The 22,538-nt window shown below is 41.7% G+C and overlaps 1 protein-coding gene across 4 annotated transcripts in view, besides 1 other annotated feature; it reads left to right on the top strand.

Annotated features, from left to right (window-relative positions):
* The window catches only part of CDH11 (cadherin 11), a 179,992-nt gene that overhangs the window by 48,080 nt on the left and 109,374 nt on the right, over nucleotides 1-22,538 (top strand). For all 4 annotated transcript variants that reach the window (XM_047433486.1, NM_001330576.2, NM_001797.4 and 1 more), the window contains exon 2: nucleotides 21,737-21,861. The gene's annotated coding sequence lies outside the window, so the exon portion shown is untranslated. The remainder of the gene's footprint in view (nucleotides 1-21,736; nucleotides 21,862-22,538) is intronic.
* Nucleotides 3,077-3,995: an enhancer, noted in NCBI's record as "H3K27ac-H3K4me1 hESC enhancer chr16:65105573-65106491 (GRCh37/hg19 assembly coordinates)". NCBI's record gives its function as "activates a minimal SCP1, AML or CMV promoter by ChIP-STARR-seq in naive H9 embryonic stem cells {active_cell/tissue: H9 hESC(naive)}" and the evidence as "EXISTENCE:reporter gene assay evidence [ECO:0000049][PMID:30033119]".

Here is a 22,538-nt window from a genome sequence, read left to right as displayed (position 1 = left end):
CAGGGCTGTATTGCTTGTTAGCAATAGAGTCTCCTGAAATATGCTTTGGCTGTCCTGTGAATGCCAGTGATTCAAAGATCCTTGCCAAAGGATCATCATAAATCCTGCTTAGACAGAGAAATCCCTAATGGAAGAAGGGTTCTTTGCAGTGTCCCACAGCCTTGAGCATTAGTGTGGAGAAGAGGACAATTTGCAACAATGCTTGAGTGAGAGTCAAGAGGCCTATTTACATGGTCAGGGACACAGATGGTCCCGTAAGTAGGATTTGATGAAGAGAGCCCCCTCATCCCACTTGGAGACAGGGAAACGGGCTTTAGGACAGTGTTGTCTGAAAGGCCACTGCCACATGCAGAGTCCTCTAATCCTCTGCCTGAGTGGCTCTGTTTCTTTCAGAGACAAGAAGCTTGTCTGACATTCTGTCCCCCAGCATGGTGACAATTAAAGGCATGACTGAGAGCCATTCCTTTCAGGCCTACTTTCCCCCCATTTTTCCCTATCCAAGTCTAGCTGACAGACCAGGCTGGCAGTGCACACCCACAAATGGTGGACTGATGAGCAGACGACCAGCCATGCAAGCCTTTCCTTCCATGAATTCAGCCTGCTTATGTTTGCCAGGGTGTACTATGTGTAGGACACAGTGCCATGTTCTAGAGAGTGTAAGATTTGAGACAGCAGGAGGAACTAGTGTGTGTGTGTATGTGCGCATGTGTGTGCCTGTGTGTTTGGTAATTTCCAAGTATATACACTTTAATAGAGAATATTAACCATTTCTTCCACCTAAGGATGTAAGATGATTTAATATTTCTTTTACAATGTTTGCATTGTTCTGTATAATAATTAGGAACAAGTTAAAGAGGAAAATACTATTTTGAATGTGGGTCTTTATCACTACTCAAACTCTTTCTTTTTCTTTCAGTTAAGTTGTTTTTATTTATTATTCTTCTCTCTCCCCTCCTCTTCTCTATCTCTGTCTGTCTGTTTGTCTCTCTCTGTGCACACACACATATTCTGGGGGAAGATATGGGCTTGGAAATAGGGAAAATTACACACAAGGGTACATCCATAGGAACTTGTCATAAATGTTCCAATTCTTGGGTGCTTTCTTGGGACTTTGGAAAAAGTCATGCCATTGTTCACATATTGTGTGTGTGTATATATATATGAATTATCTTATAGCAACAATCCTATAAGGCAGGCACTACTAGGATCACATTCTATGTAGAGAAACTGAGGTTCAGAGAAGTTAAGCCGGGGGGTTGCACAGCTACCAAATGATGGAGGCTGGGTGTGAACCCTGAGTTTTTTAAATCCAAAACTCTGAACTCTTGCTATTTCCTGCAGTTTTACTGAAGGGCAGTGACAGACAGTTAATTTGGGTATATCGAGCTGGCACTGTTTTATTACTTTTAGCAGCAATGTGTCCCCTTTGGAGTCTGGGTGTTTTGCACAGCTCTGTTCTCTGTGGCATTCCTATCCCTGCTTCTGTAGCCATTCAAAAGAATAAGGGAATGAAAGTTAAATGAACTCCCCAAAGGGCAGTCACCAGGAGTCAATAGGTATTTGCTTTATTCTATTTGTTTGATTTAGAACAAAACAAAACAACAAATGTTCCCCGCCTCTGGGTCCAAGGACTTAGCCACAGCTTTAGCAACAGCCATGAATAATGAAAGAGTTTCCAAGTTATCTGAAAACAACCATGACATCAAAAAGACAACCAAATGAAACTCAGGTGTTTGCTTCCCCTCTCCATTCTCCAAGCATCTACTTTCTGCAAGGCCTTGCTTCTCCTGATGCTGTCTGTGGACCAGTGGTGGCCTCACCATCACCTGGGCACTTGTTAGGCAGGACCTGGACCTCATCCCTTTTCCCAGACCTGCTGGAGCAGAGTCTGCATTTTAATAAGGTCCCCAAGTGACTTGTACATTACAGTGACAGAAGCACACTCTGAAGAAAGAGGAGGACTTACCTCCCACCCAGAGCTAGGTCTAGTTTGGGATGAGTGAGTCACTGGCCCAGGGTCCAAAATTTAAGAGGGTACCCAAAAAAGCAGTAATCAACAAAAGCAATATATTAAAAAGGAAGGCCAAGTGTGGTGGCTCACGCCTATAACATCCCAGCACTTCGAGAGGCCAAGGCAGGTGGATCACTTGAGGCCAGGAGTTTGAAACCAGCCTGGCCAACATGGTGAAACCCCATCTCTACTAAAATTATAAAAAGTTAGCTGGATGTGTTGGCTCATACCTGTAATCCCAGCTACTCGGGAGGCTGAGGCATGAGAATCACATGCAGAGGCAAAGGTTGTAGTGAACCAAGATCATGCCATTTTACTCCAGCCTGGGTGAAAGAGGGAGACTCTGTCTCAAGTAAAAAAATAAACTAATTAATTAATTAAATAAAAATGGAACTGGACAATTGCAGTCTTCTCCCTTCTGGATTTTTGGGGGAGAGGGCAGGGGAAGCTTATGGGGTCTAGGTTTCTTGTTTTCTCTAAATATTCTGAATTTTCAGCAAGTGAAATTACATTGAGTTGTTTCCATTTTGGTCCACATACTTATATATTATTGGATTTTCAATAACTGTGGTTAGACACAAAAAAATGTAGCATTGTAACCTAAGCATTTATTCTGCAAGGTCAGTTCAAATGGCCAACATAGATCACACTAATGATGATGATAATGATCAAGGTAGGTAGCCTTTATTAAGAGCTTGCTCTGTGCTGAGTGCATTGCATGAATTAACTTATTTAATTTTTATAGGAAACCCCACATGGGAGGCACACCCTAATCTCCATTTTAGCAGTGAGGTGATGGAGGTATGCAGAGGTTGAGTAGCTGGTTTAAGGCTATCCAGCTAGTGACTAGAACAAGTTGGATCAGGCAACTTGCCCAGAGCCCACTCTTTACTACTTTACAATATACAATACAATAGTGTAAAATAAATTTAAATTGTTTTTAAAGTTCTAAAGCAATTTCATGCATCCTTTTCTTCAATATACAAGTATTTCACTGCCAAGTGTGTTTCCATTCTGAAAAATCTACCCCTTTAGGTTTTTAAGTTAAAAATGCTCCCTAAAACAATAAGAGTAATAGATAGATGATGTCATTTACTTTTTAAAAATATCCATAAAATTTTGGCTGCCAATTTAAAAAAAAAATTGGACAAGAAGATGCTGTTAGTTCAAGGGAAGACAAATAGTTCGAGGTCCTCCCTTTTGGATTGGGACCCTGCCGTGGGCTGGGGGTACCATGAGCCTGGTGGGCACAATGTGATCCTGCCTCTGCCGGACTTGGCTTCTTCTCTGCCTGTTTTGTAGCAACCACTGCACTTGTCTTTCTTGCTTGTGTCTGTGTGGGTCTCATTAGCAGTGGGTGTGTGTCTTACCACAGTGGCTCATTCACAGGGCTGCTGGCAGTGCCAGGGATCAGGAGCCGCCTCTCCGTCTGTCCAGAACAAAGCTGGGCTGAGCCCTCTCACGGTCCTGTGGCCCTTGGTCTCCCCACATGAGGTGTCCCGAGATTGAAGAGAGAAGGTGCCTCCTGGCATTGCCAAGGCTGGAATCTGCCTGTCAAGGAAGTCCCTCGGCGGCTAGCTGCTGCACCATGACCTTCGTGATGGTGGAGTGAGTAGGCACTGGAATCAATAAGCCTGGCCTCTCCATCTGCCAGCCTGAATGCAGGTGCCAGTTACTACTACCCAGCAGGGACGAGGGACGGGAACGGTGGCGCATAGATCCCAGCAAAGGGGATTGGCTTTTGTGGACACAAGCTTGAGGCTGGCAGTGCCGTTTTATTTATGTCTTGTCCCTGCTGTAACAGCTGCCGCCTCTGTATGCCTTTGCTCTTTCTGTACTTTCGGCTCGGGTCACGATCTTCCTTTGATTCAGAGTTTGTTTTTATTCCAGCCTGGTTGCTGCTGCCAGAGCCATGGCTCAACGGCTTGGCCTGGACTGTTGATCCGCATGTCAGGAGTTTCCAAAAGTTTGTTCCGGTCTATCTTTGAGAGAAATAGCATGGACTGGATCCCATCGCCAGATTGTGGTGTCTGGGGACACGCGCTTGGGGCACTATTTCCATCTTCTGTCTTTGTCTGGTCCCCTCCTCATTAAATCTTCCTGGGTCTGTGGAGCTGACTACCAATTGGTGCCTGACCTAGTTACAGAGAGCCACTACGTAACCCCTTACTCATCACCATAAATGGATCATAACCGTTTGTTCACTGTGATTCAAAGTGGACTCTGCTATTTTAGAGTCGTTTCTCCCTTTTTGGAGTTTGCGCATGGGGGTGTATGTGCATATATTTATACATGCATGTGTGTATGCACGCGTTTGTGTGTGTGCGTGTGTGTTGTGCAGCTGCCTAAATTAAGCTGGCATTTTCCGTTGCTATGTGGGGACTCTGCTTTTGGAAAACACTTCTGTGGCATTGTATGGAATCGTTAACGGGCTTGCTGGTTTCCCTGCCTTGACCTCCTTTCATTTTCCACTGGGACCACTTTCTCTTGAGCATAGGTTCTCACATTTTCTGCTCGAGGTGTCAGCTCTGTGGCCACTCTTCTGCCAAAGGGCACCAGGGAGTTCCTCAAAGGACCTTTTGAACTGTTTGTTCAATGAATGAAGAGTTCAGTCGGACAGTGACGAGGACAGCACATACCTCTGATTGGTCCCTGCCTCAGAATTGCTGGGCATGACTCATGCATTTGGCTCTTGCCTCTGCTGATCTCACAAGCCATGTGGGAGGTTGGTTTTTTTCAGCGTCTCCCAGAGTCTGTGACCTTGTCATCACCATTTTGCCTTGCATTTTGAAAAATACTCTCCCTGAACAAATTGTGTTTATAAAGTAACAAGCAATTCCTTTTCCTATTTTTAGTTATTCATTTGTACCTATTTTCCAATCAGAGTTTCTAATCAGTATGAGTTAATCAGAGTTAACATTTATTTATTTACTGAGCACCTTCTGTGTGACTGACCTATACCAGGTGCTGGCACTAGGAAAGTGAACAAGATTCAGTCTTAGCAGGGGTTTCCAATGCATAATAATATTTCTGTTAATTCACATTAATTTGGGTAAAATTTATTGCTCACCCATGGCATGTGTGGGGTGGTGCCAAGTGCCTTATGTATACCCCTTCTTTAATCTTCAGGGCAATGCTGTGAGTTTGTCATTAGAGATACCACTTTGCAGATGTGGAGACTGAAACTTGTACAGTTGAGTCGAGCCATTCACTCAAAGTCACACGTTCAATTACAGGGTAGAGGCAGGATTTGAACCCTGGATTGTCAGACTCCAAAACTTGCCCCATGGAGATTATAGTCACCAGCTCCCTGCATTCCTTCCTTCACTCTCCTACTGGATAGGTGTTTGCTTTTGTGGACATGAGGAGTGTCCTATGTTCTCTCCATGTTCCGTGGCTTTTGGTTTAGTGTGAGGTGTCTGAATATCCTGGGGACAAATGAATTTGTTGCCCCATAAAATAACGGAGCTTCTAGCTTTCTAAGATATTAAACTTACTTACCTCTTGATTGTTCAGATGGGGAAAGTGAGGCTCTGAGTGCAAAGGGATTTGCCACAATCGTACAGTGGCAGGGTCTGGACTTATACTCAGCAGCTCTGATCTACAGGCTGATGGGGTTATTGGCTAATTTATTCTGAGTCAGATGGCAAATCTCAAGAGTTCTCCTGGGAAATTCTATCCAGGTTTGAGGTCAGAGCAGCCAAAATTAGATACAATGCAAGCTCATGAGGGGCAAGGTTCTAATCTTGTTCATCACCGTGTCCCTGGTCCCCAGCACAGTCCTATGGTGCAATTGGTGGTCAACTGATGTGTGTTGGAGGAATAAACTGGGTGAAATGAAAGGGGCTTCCAGGGAGAACCTTCTAAGGTTTGTGCTATGGGATTGGTAGTTGCTTACCTTTCTTCCTGGGTTCTGTTAACCCAAGAAAGTATTTTAGACTCAAATTGATGGTATCAATATTTAATTTGACACTTCGATGATTCAGTCATTTGGTATTGTAAAACTATTTTTCCGTTTCTATTTTGGAATAAATTGGCTTGTTCTTTGGGCATCTCTGGGCAGAGTAGTTTTTCCTGGCTGTACAAAAAAGAGGATGCTCAGGTATCGGTATTTGTACCCAAGCTCACTTTAGATGTGGCCAGCTCAGGTGTCTATGTTGCAAAAGAGGTACTCCATGTGTCATGAAGTGACTACAAGATTAAAAAGTGTTTCCAGAACAGACAATACCTTAACCATCATATCAGAAATAAAGAAGAGAGGAAAGAATTCACCCAGAATTCATTCACTCTGACTCACGAATTGTCCTTATTTTCTTCCTCCTACTATTCAAATTAGTCAGAAATATTTTTACATTATTGTAATTGGAGTCGAGATTTGACGTCATAATGAACCATGTGGAAATAGTCCCAAGTATTTTCCCATGTTTCTTTATAAGTCACAGCATTGTGACTTTGGGGAAAGCCTGCTATTCCATGCACAGCATGTATTCTGTTTTACTTAAACGTTCTCCTATTACAACAAGGCAATTGTAACTTTATGGGAATGTAAAAGAGTGTTTCTTGTTGGCAATATGGGTGAAACTTAATGAGATTACGCAAAGAATTGCAATACCGACAAGGTCCTTTACTTCAAGTGAGTTTTTCTGTTTGGAGTCAGCCTAATGCTCTATTTTCCTAATGAAATGAGAATACTTAAAACATGCATAGGGAAACATCAAATTAGTCAATATTAGAATTATTTTTGTTCTTTTTCTATTTTTTATAATTTAAATAATTAAGATGACATTGAAAGCAAGCATCTTTCTTAATTGCTCAGAGCATTTTTCTTATTTCTGAAAATGGGTGGCATTTAACTGAGAGACAAAACAAGAACATCAATAAGAAATTAAAGCGAATGGCTTAGAAGTGCTAACCTGGTCTTTAATGTTTCTTCGGGAAAAACCACTAGAAAAGCAGAAAACTGTTCAAGTAAATCCATCTGCTAACTTTCAGGTCAAACCTGTTAGGATTAGTTCTTTAATGAGGTTACAGGGTTTTGGGCGATGAGTGTGCAGAAATGATCTGGTAATGAGCTGACTTCGAAGAGAAGCTTGAGAGAGCTTTCATTAACTGTGTTTGCATCATAATTTGGCAAGGTCACGGGAGAGAGTCTTCTTTAGGCCACTAAAAATAGACAGTCTCATAGATCCAATCATGTCATCATCTCTCTCCCTCTTTTTTTTTTTTTTTTTTTTTTTTTTCTGTAGTCATATCTTATTTCGGGAGCTCCCTTCATTCTTCTCACCCACCTGCCTCCTCTGGAACCCTGTGATTACTTTGTTTAAGACACTGCCTCCTTGTGTGCTGAAGAAGAGAGGAAAGACAGGGCATTTCAGGCCCCTCACTCACCTGATTACTTTATCTTGCAGTTTCCCTTCCTCCCTCCTTCCCTCTTTCCCTTCCTCTTTCCCTTCTTCTCTCATTTCCTTCCTTTCTTCCTTTCCTTTTTTCTCTCTTCCTTTGTCTCTCCCTCTCTCCCTGCCCCCTCCCTCCCTCCTTTCATCCCTCCTTCCCGCCTTTCTTTCTTCTCTCTCTCCTTCTCTCCCTGCCCCCTCCCTCCCTTCCTCCCTTCTTCCCTCCCTCCCTGCTTTCCCTCTTCTCTCTCTCCCTCCCTTCTTCCCTCCCTCCCTTCCTTGGTTCCTTCCTCCCTCCCTTCCTTCCTCCCTCCCTCCGTTCATTTCTCCCTCCCTCCCTCCTTCCCTTCCTTTCTTCCTTCCTTCCTCTCTCCCTCCCTTCCTCCCTTCCTTTCTCCCTCCCTTTCTCCAATTCATCCTCCCTCTGTTCCTTTCTCTCTCCCTTCATCCTTCCTTCTTTCCTTCCTCTCTCTCTCCCTCCCTTCCCTCCCTTCCTTTCTTCCTCCCTCCCTTCCTCCCTTTCTTCCCTTCTTCTTCTCTTCTCCCTTCTTCCCTCCCTCCTTCTCTTTCTCTGTCTCACCTTTACATAGGTCCCAATTCTATGTGTCAGTGTGCATAGAAATACTTGATATACAATTATTTAAAAAGTAAAAACAATGAATGAGCTCCATTTCAAAGTAAAAAGAATGAATGAATGAGCAATAAAGAAGACAAAACAATAAATCAATGAGCACAATTTCAAAGGAAAAACAATGAATGAATGAATGAGCAACAAAGAAGAGAAAATTCTTGAGAGAATGGTGGGGCTAGAAAGACTTCTGCTTCCCTCGAAAGCATACTTCGCTACTATTTTAATACCTCTTTCTTTCACACTCTTGTACCCCCACTGCCAAATGTGTGCTCTACTTACATTGTGTATGTGTTCTATCTATGCCTTGTCATCTGTCTGTGGTTGTATGCATCTGCCCATATCTAAACATATACATCTGTTCAGAATGAGGTTCTGTAAAAATTCAAAGGATTCATTTAACTCCTGGATTCGTCGTTTCTCTTTTTTTTTTTTTCCTGTTGACTCTTTGTATTTCATGCAGGTTTTGGTAAGGAAAATTCTTACCCTAACCTCTAAAACATATAGAATGGATAAAGTAGAGCTTCTGTGGATTAAATAGAAGAAAGGAGAAAGTTGTAGGAATCTGCAGAAGCCTCCCTCCAGCTCTCCCCACCACACCACAGCCCCTGCAACAGCCTTTGGGATACCCCAGGAATACCACTGTTTGCCAAGAACAGTTAGTAAAATCACTAGATTAGATCACTGCTGACTTTTCATTTGGCTCTTACATCCTGTGATTTGTGATGTCTCTGATGTCAAACTTTAAGTCCAGGTCTCTGTGTTTATGGTTTGCAGCAAATGCAGATGATTCTGAAGTAGGTACTGTAGGAGCTATAAACACGATGCAGATGACAGAGTTTCTGCTTTTCATAACCTCACAGGGACTGGAGGAGCAGGCAGACAGTTGGGAAAATGGTTTCTTAAAACAACAAAATGTTCAAACACATAAGAACAGAATGACTGATAAAGGTGGTTGTAAGTCATAGTTGTTGCCTCTCATTTCATCAAATAGTTACTGAGCATCAGCTATGTGCTGGCCACATGTGTATTGCTTTAAAGAGGTCCTAAGAAGATATGATCCCCTCTCTGTTTTATTAACGTTTTAAAATTTTCTTTGTGTAAGTTATCCCTGTCTAATTCTTTGCTGCTAATTTTTCTGTTTACTTTTTAACTCTACCAGAGGCTGAACACTCTGTAAAAAGAGCAATCTTACCTGTTTGGTATCCAGGGATTTGACTGATGCCTGGCACATAATAGATGCTCAAGAAACATCTGCTCACAGAATTACACTGTGTCATTATCTCCACCAATCACAGTGGTTGGCGGAGATGATGCCACAGTGTAAGCTTTGTGCGTGTGTGTAGTTGGGAAGGTGGACTGTCAGGAGGTGATATTTGGCCAAGACCTTAAAAGACAAGGATAAGTTTGTGAAAAAGGAAGAGGAAGAGATATTCAGTTCAGAGGCAAAAGTAGGAATGAAGGAGGCAGAGTGAAACAATATGGTAAGTTGAGGCAAAGCAATGGGTTCCTAGAAGGAGCTTCCCCAGGTGAAGCTGAAGACCAGTGAGGCTCACTAATGAAGGGCTTTCCCTGAGGGCAGAATGGAGTGGTGCTTAAGAGAGGACGCTCTGGCGTCAGACTGCATGGATGTGAATCCCTACAAGCAAGGCAGGTGGCATCAGTAACTCACCCTCTCCATCTTAGATTTCTCCACTTTCAAATAGGGGTTATCTATGCAACAATCCACTTTAGCACAGTATCTGGAACATAGCAGGCTTGGCTATTGTTAAAAGTAGAGGAGACCAATCCAAGGAGACCTTGAGGGCTTTGCAACTGAGAGTGGCATGAGCAGGCCCCTGGTTTAGGGTGTGCCTGTAGCAGCTGTGTGAAAGAGGGGCTTGCTCTCAGGTCCTTCTGGCAGAAAGATGCTGTTGAGTATCTTCCTCTATCTCCTTCCTTCACCTCTGTGGGCCAGTGATGCTGTTCTAAGCAGCCCAATAATTATCTTTCCACTATGTTTAAGATTGTTGCTTTGTGTCTTGCACAGGGTTGTCTCTGTGGGAACCAATGGGATAAATAGTATGCTGGCATCAGTACCCAGAATGGCTGCAATACAGCTCAGCAGCAGTTTTATCTTCATGGGTCCTGCGGTCCTGTGCCAGGTCGTGTGTCCCCGTCCCTTTCGTGAAGCAGCCCTTGCAACTAATATGACTTTAGCCCAAGCTTTGCATATGACCTTCATTCAAATTATTTCATGCTGTTCTTTCTCCTTTTCACATATTTAGTATTCAAAATAGTCTTATATGTGTTTGTACTGTATGCACCTTTGTAGGCGGCCTGAAATTCCCTTTGGAATAAAACAGGATATTGGTAAAATGCACGGCATGCGTCACAGGGAGGGGCATGAGGTGGAGAGTGGGCCGGGTGAGTCTTCAACCTAGTTTCTTTGTGAAGACCTACTTTCCTGTAGGGCTTTAGACTCTGCTCCCTCCTCCACCACCATGTCGGAACTGGCATTTGTCTCTCCCTGTAATTCCTTCTCTGTCCTTGGAAGAGAACTGTGATCATTTCTTGCAGTCCCCTCGCATAGCTGACCTGACCCGTGATATTAATGAAAATGCGGTGCAGAGACCCTGGGATGCTGGAGGCAGGGTCTGGGGCGGTTTAGATGCTGTAGGCACCGCTCCTCACCCATGTCCCCGTTGGGCCTCCGTCTCCCTGTCCATAAAATAATTGTGGTGCCATGGATCCGTGTTCCTCACCTCTCAGTCATTCAGGTTTTGTCTTCCCTAATATCTGGATACAATCACATTGTTATTTACTTAATATTTTCTTTTGACTCCTTCTACTTTCTGCTATTTAAAAAAATATTTTTGAAGAAAATTATATTGCTCTAATTTCTGGAAAGCCAGTATCTCTTGTCATAAATATGAGGCAGTCAAAAAACAGATACAATTAAAAGGAAACAACATAATTGAATCCTCTCTGAGCCTGAGACTGCCTTGTCTTTGTTAAAAAAAGGTTTGTTTAGGAATCACTGCAAACAGAGACTTTCTCTTTGCTGACATCAGGACTGAGAAAGAATTGAAAAGGTATGTCTCCATTTCCCCCATTTATTGTCTCTGAAGGCCAGTAATCTGGCAATTGGTGGGGCCCCTGTTGTGTCAGGTATTGCATTAATTTCTTTATGTTGAGTCTTTGTAACAGAACCCTGATGGTATTGACTTATATTTACTGAACAGTAAATTTGTGTCAGAAACAATAGCGTGATGTGCACATATTATCACCTCTGTGCTCGCCACAGGAATGTGAGGTGTTATGTTGCTCATTTTACAGGTAAGGAAACAGAGTCCTAAGCCACAGAACTGAAGAGTCATGGAGGCCCAAACAGGAATCAGCTTGCAGCTGCATCTTATGCCAAAGTCTTTCTAATTCCACAAATTGGCCCCTTGGCTTGCTGGGGGACATGCCCCTTTGGTTTGGCTCCTAGATAAGGTCCTCTGGGCCTTCTCTGAGGACCATCTTGACTCTGAAACCTGGCTGTGCCTACACATCACCCTGAGAGCCAAAGGTGACCCCTCCCTGGCCGCCAAGGTCTTCTGCACATGCAGTGTCCTCTTGAAGATGGCCACATCATGGTATTGGGTTTGGCCCATGAAATCCCCAACACATGTTGAATACTAGAGAAGTATCAGCTCTTAGCTCTGTGTTTCCTGAAGTGTGGTTGGAACACTCATAAAGGGAGGTGGGATGCTTTTAGCCAGGGGAACTGATTATTCCAATTACAAAGTTCTGTCATTTCAAAGTAGGAAACAATCTTACTGCCCATCAAATCCACCCTGGTACCCAATGCCAAAATTCATTTACTTACTGGATAAGGAATGTGACTGAAATGTTTACAAATATAAATGATCAAGTTATGAATAACATACACATGCATGTGTGTGTGTGTACTGACACACATATAGATACTATTATATATCTTTATATCTCTGTATGTAGAACATTTGCAGATATCAAAGCCAAGGAGTCATTTTAAAAGCCTGTTTAGAAAGACAACCTCCTTGCTTCTTGGCCTTTTGGCTAAGATCAAGTGTAGGTATCCAGCCTCATTTTCTTGATGGAAGCCATATGATAGAGAATATGAATATTGTAGAAGAAGTCCTCCTGAAACCTCTGATCCACTGATTTGCAGACAAACAGGGCCATTTTTCTGTCATTTCCACACTCATGATCCAAGCACAGTCTGGTAAGATGACCCAGCTCCACATAGCTGTTGACAGTGCTTTTTTTGTTCGTTTGTTTGTTTTTTCTCTTTATTTTCAGTTCTTAACAATGGAGTTAGTAAAAGTAACCATCCAAAGAGTATTTAAAAAATGAAAAGAAAAAAACATCCTTGAGAATATGTGTTTTGTGTTTGTGTGTGTGTGTGCAGTCACATTTACATCTAAAGCACACACACATGTGACTCACAAATCGAGGTAGAATAGCCTACATAAAGCTTCCTATGAAAATATTAGATTCTCAATATTGACAAATGATTTTTCGCATTCTTCAAGAATGTCACAATTTGTGCATAGCAGTGAAGAATGTTCTTCCACCAATAAAGTCCAGCAAACGCGAAACTGAAACATTTTAATGGCCTGATTCCCCTGCCGACCCTGGGTGAATCCAGTGTATTTAATGAGGTGTGATGAGGATGTAGAGCACCCGCTAGACTCTCTCCCTGGCTCACGTCAGCCCCTCTGTGGCCAAATTCAAATTTGTGCCTGAAGAAAATCAGTCTCCACTTACTGCAGCCCTTCAGAAGCACTTGTAAATAGGTGAGACCACTATGTCCAGGGCTCAGATTTTTATTTACTAAGTCATTGGTTTGAAAGCTCTTTTGAAGCATTTAGTTTGTGCCTTTGTCTACCTGATTATAAAGTGGACAAGGAAACATATATGCTTCTTATCCCTGTGGAGTTTATAGACAAGCAGAGTTTGTACAGCTTGTGTCTTCAGAGTAAGTGCCTAGGAAAAGGCAAATAACAAAATGGCATTTTTTTCTTAACCTAATTTTATATTGCAAAAGGATAGTCCCACTTAATTTTGAGAAACCTGATTTTGTTTCTTTCTGAGTATAATGGCCCCAGAGGGAACTCTCTCCTATTATATCATAAATCAGTTGTATTGCTATGGACTATGCAGTTTACTTTTCTTACTATGGAAAGATAGCGGGAGGCTGTGACTATTTTGGCATACAACAAACACTGCAGTGTGTGTGTCTCTGTGTGTGTGTGTGTTTGCAGTACTTCTCTGACTTTGTGAATATGGAGATTTGCATACTCCAGAAACTTGCAAATAAGCGGATTTCTTGGTTGTCTGGAAGTTGCCCAGATTTGGTAAAATGTAAGAGACTGTCTCAGGCCTTGTGTCTGGTTAAAGGTCTTTGTTTTTCTTTATTACATGCATGGGTTCTCCTTCGTAGTTGGTTTCTGCTTTTCCTGGATAGTTAGGTAGCCTGGTAAAGTGATGCAGTCCTTAGTCATGTTTCTTTTAAATCATTGGACTACTTTCCTAATTTAGTGCCCTATTTTATAGCCAAAGAATGGAGTAGAGTACAGCTGTTGGGTGAATTGCTATAGATGCAAACTGCCTGTGTCCGAGTCTTGGCTTCACTGGTGAGTGGCTTTGTGATTGAGGGCAACTTTACTCCGTCTTTTTGTGCTCCAATTTCCTAGTTGTGAAATGAAGAAAAACCACAGAACCTGACTTATAAGATTGTCATAAGATGAAATTGTGTGTTGTAGAAAGGTACTTAGCCCAGGACCTGGTCCATTGGAAATTCTCAATAAATTTTAGCCATCATAATTGCCTGTTTGGATTAAGTTGTGTCTGCGGAACATTCAGCTCCTGGGGGATAGAGAAATGCTGAGAGTTAGCATCATATGTACATGATGGCATTCATGCCTTAAATCCCCAAAGATGATTAAATGCTTCATTTGGCATGTGAAGTATTTAGAAAATATTGACCACACTTTTTCAAACTTAATACTTGCACAAACACAGGCATTTAATGCCAGTCAGAAAATACCTGTTGGTATTTTATTGTTAATAGCCGATTATTTGCAAAATGATAACCTACTTTACTGATTTTAAATATTTAAATATTATAGAAAACAAACCAAATAATGCCACGTTGCATTTATCAAAGCTGAATAATTTGTGCCAAATGAGTACATTATTACAGTCCTTGAAAACAAATTACAAATTATACCTGTCATTTGACATCAAGTAGATAAAAGTCAATAGGTATTTTCAATCTTTTAAATTAAAAAATTATATAATTTTGTGGCCATTCTTTGTCTAATTACTACCGTTCATTTATTTCTCCAATAGTCTAGCTCTGTGGAGTGTTAGCAGTGTACTGACCTGGGACAAACAAAAATGAGAATAATATGTGATTTCTGTCCTCAAATAGCTCACAGCTTCCTTGATGGAAAGTTGGGAGGACCAAATAGCCACAAATAACAAAGATCTCTAATTGTGGGAGAAATAAAAAAGCACTATGTTACACTAAGGGAATCCTGAGGCCCTCTGAGTTTATGCTAGGTACTGAGGAGAATTTCCATCAAAGTCACACTAACAGTAAATGGAAGAAGAGGTCAGATGCAGAGAAGCACAGAGGTGCACAGCCTGCCAGGCTCAGGAACAGCAGTACTTACTGAAGCAGGAGGTAAGGTGGGCAGGTGAGGCTGGGGACAGACAGGAGTCAGATGCATAAGCTGTGTTAATAAATGTGGAATGTGGGCATCTCCTGACCTGACGGGAAACCATTTAGAATTTTAATATTGTCAAGTTTTTTTTTTAATGTAAAAATCACCATTCTTCTAGTTGATGGCTTCTGTTGAAAAGGGGATTTCTGTTTGATCATGTGCATTATATTCAAATGTTTAGATATTTATACATGACAAGGAGACAAATAAGTAAAATAAAATCAGCTACAGAAGAAGAGGTTAAAGTTATTCTGGAGCATATGTGATTGTGTGCATGCTGGTTGCTTTGTTCACCCTAGTAGTTCTTTAGAAAACTTTACATACTGACCATATGGGCATCCTTAAAACTTTCCTGCAGCATGCTTGTACTTATTTTTGTCTGCTTCTCACCTCCACCCTAAAAAAAAGTTTAAAAAGTAAAATTGCTAGCATTTTAGGCAAAAATAAAATATACTCTCCTGGAGAAAGTCTTTTCATTTTCCTTCTATTCTAGCTGTTCTCAAGTTGTTAATAATATAGTCTCTCTCTCTCTCTCTCTATATATATATATATATGCAAATTTTATAGTGGGTGTGCTTAGATATTTCCCCTTATTCTAACTTTTATTCTTCTTTATTTGGTAGCAAAATCATCATTGCTGAGTGGGAGGGGAAGAGTCTTTGGAGCAAGGGAAATCTAGATTGGAATTCCCACTCTGCCACTAATTAGCTTGGTTATCTTGGGCAAGTTGTTTAACTTCTCTAGGTTCTAATTTCTTCCTCTTTCATGAGGCAGAAATAAAATTTCTAGTGTTGTGGGGAAGAGTAATTTTTACAAAACACATGTAGAAGCACCAACGCAATAATACCGATGGCGTGTAGTAGATGGCACGTAAAACTGGAGCTTCTAGTACCTCAGTTGTTAATATGTTGAAAGGAGAAAGTGAAGCTACATAATTTGGGCAAGAAATACAGATAAAATGTAGTGAGTAGTAGGAGGTTTGCTCATATGCTAGATGACTGTTTGTTTATTCATTTCCCAAAGATATGACAAAGGCCGTGAATATTTATTTAGTTCTGCTCCCAATAGCCCTTCTAATAGGGAATTATTTGGGTACAACGAAAGACATTTGTAAATGCGGCTGATAAGACCGGCATTGGACAAGGCGTGTTTTGTTGGACACAAGAATTCTATTGTCCCTGGCTTCAGTTGTCAAGTGCCCGGGGAACCCAGAATTTATGGTGGCAGCACAATGGGCCTTTCAGGGCTCAGGGAAAGAGCTGTGAGATCCTGCTCCCCGGCTTTTCAAGGCCTCTAGTCTTTTTATCAGGCCTGGACAATGCCGGATTCAGCGGCTGCCTGAGCCTCCTGACCGTCCATTGGCCGTCAGGTATTGTGCAGTAATTACCATGGTGACAATGGACTCTCTCTACGCCCGTCCATCGGCGCTTTGGAAAATGGTGAAGGTTGTCACTTTGCATTAGGTGCCTCTAAAAGCATGGCTTACTTAGAAAAACTACTAAATAGAAATGAAGATAATCGTAGTAAGAGTTTGATTTAAAAGGCCACTGTGTCAAATCCATTTGGGGCTCAGAAACTCTTTATGGATGTCTTCTTCTAATTACAGATAGACGTTGGGCATCATCCTCTGTACAGGCAGTAAGGAGCCAGCCTTGAAGATTTTGCAGGAAGGGATGAGCAGAGGACAGCTGGTGTCCCCTAACCACGCAGTGGGAGTAGAGGTCTAATCTGGGTCCAGGAACTTTGAAGGATCTCTAAATTTCTTTGAGACTCAGATTCCTCATCTGAAAAAAAAATTTTGCAAAATGCTTATAGATTATTATTAATTACATGTGATAAAATTGTATGTTAATATTTATGCACATATCAATATTGGTTCTGTATAAATACACATCTATTAAAGGGTTTTTGAATAGCAAATATACAATAAAAGGTAAAATGTTTAATCATGCACAATCATAGAAGCACAATATATCTTTTCATAATCACAACTATTGATTTTTGAGTGTATAAGTGAAGTGTTCCATGTATTGTGATTATCCTCCACAATCATTCTTCAAAATAATTGTTATTATCCCCATTTTATAGTGAGGAAACTGAGGCTCAGAAAGTTCTTGCTTGCCCCAACTCAAACTAGCTTGGAGGAGGAAAAACTTGATTTTAAGTCTTGTTCTCTCACATGCAACAGCTTCCTGTTTCTCCCAATTTTTTACAAAAAAAATCATGATCTACAATCCTAGCTTACGAAATATGCTTTACCATATGGGTTTGGAACTTTGCAATAACAGGAAAGAAAAACACCCAATGGAGATTATTAACTGAGTTTAATCATCCGTTCAACAATGTCAGAAACATGTGATGCTCAAAAAAGGAAGAAGCCCCCATCTGCAGACCCCCAGGGATGACTGTGTATGTGTGACCCCTTCTCCTGCCTGCACAGAGCAACATCAACAAAGCAAATTGGTATTTCTAGACCACCAGAAAAGTGGATGGCCGTTGTTCAACTTCTTCACCAAAGAAAAGTTTTAAAAACCTGATATTTCACTTGTTTATACAACAGTAACATGTAAACATTTAATTATAGTTTGCTTTAACTAACTATGTTCCAAAATATCCAAAATATCCCATTGTGGTGGCTTTTTGTTTGTTTGTTTTGTGTTGTTTTGTTTTTGAGACAGGGTCTCACTTTGTCACCCAGGCTGGAGTACCGTGGCGCTATTTTGGCTCACTGCAGCCTCGATCCCCCAGGCTCAAACGATCCTCAAGTCTCAGCTTCTCAGTAGCTGGGACTACAGGCACCTGCCACCACACCCAGCTAATTTTTTTTTACACGTTTCGCCATATTGCCCAGGCTGGTCTTGAACTCCTGAGCTCATGTGATCCTCCTGCCTCAGCCTCCCAAACTGCTGGGATTACAGGCATGAGCCACTGCAGCTGGCCTTCCCAGTGTGTTTTTACCAAAAAGTAGAAATTATCTGTAGTCACACACCATGGGAATAGGCATGATTTGCCTGGGGAGTGGGCCTCCTGGTGGGTTCTTAAACCTAGGGAAAAAGGAGTGGGTTTATTGATCCAGCCCAGTTATGCTACTTCCTTGCTCTATGCACTTGGGCATATGCCATTCAGCCTCAGTTTCTCAATCTGTAAAACGGAGTAACTCCATCTCCTCGGGCTATGCTGCTCCCTTCATTGACAACTCTTTCCATTTTAATGGAGAGCCTAAGAGAGGGAAAGTGGAAAAAGGAAGGATATGGCTCTGCACGTACTGAGCCTTCCACACAATCAGAGCTTAGCAAAAGGGAGCTGCCACAGTCACAGCTGCATCCTCCACTGACTGTCTTCCTTGATTTTGGTATGCTTACTGAGTATGTCCTTCATTCCACTTTATACACTCTGGCTTCACGGTGTTCCTTTTCCTGATTTCTAGTCTCTCTGAAATAGTATATAGCATGTACTGTCTGAGCCCCTAAGAGGCTTAGTGCTGTGGGCAGCCAAGCACAATGATGGAAGGGCTGATAGATGACAATGGCGCTGTACTTGAAGACAGCCCATGATGGTGTGCAGAGCTGGGAAGATGGCAGAGAGAAGTCCCGAGAGTAGGTAGGAAGTGGGTGCAGCAAGGCTGGAGTGTGGTTTCCTGGCTGAGAGGGGAACACATGATTCCAAGTCTTGGGGGAGTCATGAGCTGTGGGGAAGATGAAGGAAAATGAACATTCCAGCCATGAAGGCCGGTGCAGAGAATGCAGAAACAGATGACCCACTATAGCCCGCACAGCCATCTTAGCTCCATCAACTATGCTAAAAGCATAAAGAACAACTTGGATTTTGTATGTTCATTTTTTTTTGTAAGAAACATGATATAATTGTATACCAGTTTTTTTCACAGAATCCACAGTCCCTCTTTCTCAAATGTTTGCAGTGATTAGAATTCATAGACAATTCACCATCTATTTTTGCTTTTCTTCCAAAGCTTTTTTGATTGACTGCCTAGGCTTTTGGTGAAAGGATTTCTATAGGAAACATTTTGCAGGGAGGTAAAGAATGCAAGACAAAGTGGGGAGTTCGATCGGTCTTTTACAGATTTGAGAAGTCAACCCTTTTTAAACACGCTGGCCCCAGTCACAGCTTCATTATTAACAGAAGACTAGAGAAGGAAAACAGAAGGTACTTGGGCTATGAGGTCAGCACTGCTGGATTCCAACCATACCCTGGGCATTATTGGCTGTACACTTTCAGCAAGAGTCTTACCTTTTTGTGTTGTAGGGTGAGATGGCGTTCATAATACCCAGGATGGTTATATGTGCTTAAGGATAATTCACTGGTGAGATACATGGCAAATATCTTTTCCACCCCTGTTTATAACATTCCAGTTATCTATTGCTGAGTTACATGACATCCTAACATTTAGTGGCATATAACAACAACGTATTACTATCTCTTACAGTTTTGTGGATTGATTGAATTCATTTAGGTATTTTTACTTGTTCTTTCCTGCCATGTAGTCAGATGGCTGGAGTTACATGAATATTTTTATGTATTAGGTGTCCAAGATGGCATCTTTAGTCACCTGTCTGGCACCTCAGCTTGGAAGGCTGAAAGAGCTGGAAATGGATTGGCACCTCTCTCTCCAGCCATACAGCTTCTCCTCCTGGCTGTCTGGAGCTTTCTCACAGCACAGTAATATCGAGTATTTGAACTTTTGACATGGCAGCCAACTTCTCCTAGAGCAAGCGTTCAAAAAGCACAAGATAAGCTACAGGGTTTCTGTATTAGTCTGCTTATACTGCTATAACAAAATATCACAGATTGGGTGGTTTAAACCACAGATCTTAATTTCTCAAAGTCCTGGAGACCAGTAGGTTCTGTTCTGGGTGAGGATCTTCTTCATGGCTTGCAGACAACAGTCCTCTCACTGTGTCTTCACATGGCAGAAACAAAGAGAGAGCTCTGCTTTCTTTTCCTTTTCTTAGAAGAACAATCCTTCATGACATCATCTAAACCTAATTACCTCCCATAGGCCCCACCTCTGAATACTATCACATTATGGGTTAGTGCTTTAACATGTGAATTTTGGGGAACAAAACCATTCAGCCCATAACATTCTACTGCTGATCCTGCAAAATTCTTGTCCTTCTTGCATGCAAAATACATTCATTCTATACCAGCAGCCTCCAAAATCTTAACTTGTTTCAGCATAAATTCTGAGGTCTAAAGTCCAAATTCTCATCTAAATAAGTATGGGTGAAACGCAGGATACTATTCATTCTGAGACACAATCAGTATGGATGAGATTTAAAGTACTGTTCATCCTGGGGCAACATTTGTCTGCAGCTGTGAACCTATGAAATAAGATAAATTATGTGCTTCCAAAATACAGTGGTGGGACAGGTGTAGGATAGGCATTCCCTTTCTGAAAGGGAGAAATTGGAAAAAAGAAAGTAGTGATGTGTTCCAAGCAAGTTTACATAAAAAGGCAAATACCGCTGAATCTTAAGGCTCAAGAGTAATTTTCTTTGGTTCAATGCTTTGCCTTTTGGACCGACCAGGGTGGAGGTCCCTCTCCCATGGTTCTCAGAGTGTCACTTCTGCTGTTTCATTGTTATGCAGAGCCAGCTCATAGTCCCATAGAAGGAGACTGCACAAGGGCATGCCTATCAGAGTGTCTGGGTTATTGTGGGGTAATTTTAGAGACTGGCCACAGCATGTAACATGGTTGACAAGCAGGGTCCTTCCTCATTCGTTATGCATTGTGTGAACTGCTGCATGTAGCATTTCCTCCATGACTCCCTGTATCTCCAGGAATAACTCCAGTGTTACTCTGTCCTGACATTTGGATAAATAGCACACAAGAGGACAGCTTTATTGTTCATCTTGCTACAGTCACCAAAACCAGGCTCTATGAACAAATTTTAGTAGATCTAAGGTCCATCCACATCCCTTCACTAAAAAGGGCTTTTGTTTGCTTGTTTGTTGTTTTGGAGAAGGCTTTGTGTATGGTGTTCGATGGAAGCAATATCAAACAAGGAAAGAGATTTGGAAAGAAATGAAGTCAAGTCAAAGAAATAAGCTGTTTAAGCCCCTAATGCAGGCTGAGTTGATCCTAGAAGGTAGAAGCCTAGAGATGAAGGACATTCAAGAACTCCTTTATGCTGTTGTGTTATGGAAGCTATGCCAGCTGGCACCTTTCTTGGTTCAGTGCCTCAGTTTTTAAAGATGACAGCTGTTTAGACACTCCATATTCCTTTCTTTATTCACTCAACAAATATGCATTGAACAGATGCTCTGGGCTAGGAAATGTGTTAGACATTTTGGGAGATATGAAGATGAATCAGACCAGAATCCAAGCAGAACACAGCCCCCATTTTAGACACAGAAAGTCTAAAACGTGGTGTTGTGGGTAGGGGAAATGCAATCTTGAAGAGCTGCAACACTGTCAGCCCAATGCTCTGGTCTGCTGGAGTGGGGATAGTATCTCCTATTACCACCACTGCTATTGCTACTCTTCATCCTTGAGCCTGTTGTTCAAGAGGATCTGTCAACACCAGAACGGTGCTTCTCACTTTAGGAAGGAAGACATTGCTTTGGCTTTGGAACATAGGTTCTATCAGAAATGGGCTCTAAGTTTTCATACCTTCCCCCAATAGCTTGTTCTTCATGCAAGAGCAAATGTATGTGAATGACACAGCATGTTATAAGAAGTTGTGTGTAGGATTGCTTTTATCATTGTCATCAAAGTACGAAACGCATGTATGGTTAATCACACTATCCGGTGGTACTTATAAATCCATGACAAGTTTTTCCCACTTTTCACGTAATTTTAGTAATTTGTTTCTCTCTCTCTTTGCACACCTGGATTGTCATCTTCTAAGAGAAAAGTCTGTCATATGCAACTGTGTTTAATACTGTATCACTTGGTCAATTCATGGCACCACTAGGTTACTAATGATCCTTTCACTTTTTGCAGAAATCACTGTGTTTTCAGCTCAGCGGCCCTGTGACATTCCTTCGTGTTGTCATTTGTTGAGTGACCAATCAGATGGGTGGAGTGTGTTACAGAAATTGGCAGCAAGTATCCAATGGGTGAAGAAGGTAAGTTGGACTAATATTACTGAACAATTCACATATTACTATGTATGTCAAGATGGAAAGTATGCCACTGGGTCTGTGTCTCAAATGTGGCTTGATTTGGACCTTCACTAAAGCCAAAAGTAGAATCTGAGAGGGAGAGAAAGGCCTACGTTTTTCGGTAGTGAGGAATGTGATTATTCAGTGTTGATGTTATTGGATTCTCTTTATTGAACACCTATTATGTGCTAGTAATAGTAAGATCTGGAGGAGAAAGAAGGAACTAAAGGGATTATAATTGTTTAGCAAGGACCCGGCTGAACAGGCCAACTGAGATGATTGCCATGTTGCTTTTTTCCCCTTTTCTTTTGAAATAAGTCTTAAAATGGGAACAAGGTAGCTTATGTCCCACAAGGAAATGAGATTGCTAGGAGGCTGAACCTTTTAGACTTCAAATGACATGGCCCTCGATCACGAGCCAGGAGGCCTGATTTCTACACCCAGACCTAGCTCTGCCATTCACTGTCTGTGCTATGGGATTAATAAGCCATTTACTGGACTGCCAGGGTGGCTGGACCTAGGATTTCTAACAGTTCTTACATTTTAGGATTCTACGAATCCATTTACCTTCTCCATCTGCTCGGTGGTAACTGGAGCAATATTCACAGGAGACAACTAAATATCCAGATAGAAATTTAAGA

This window comes from Homo sapiens, chromosome 16 (assembly GCF_000001405.40).
Source record: "Homo sapiens chromosome 16, GRCh38.p14 Primary Assembly".
Taxonomy (NCBI): domain Eukaryota; kingdom Metazoa; phylum Chordata; class Mammalia; order Primates; family Hominidae; genus Homo; species Homo sapiens.
This window is presented reverse-complemented; position numbering and strand designations above follow the sequence as displayed.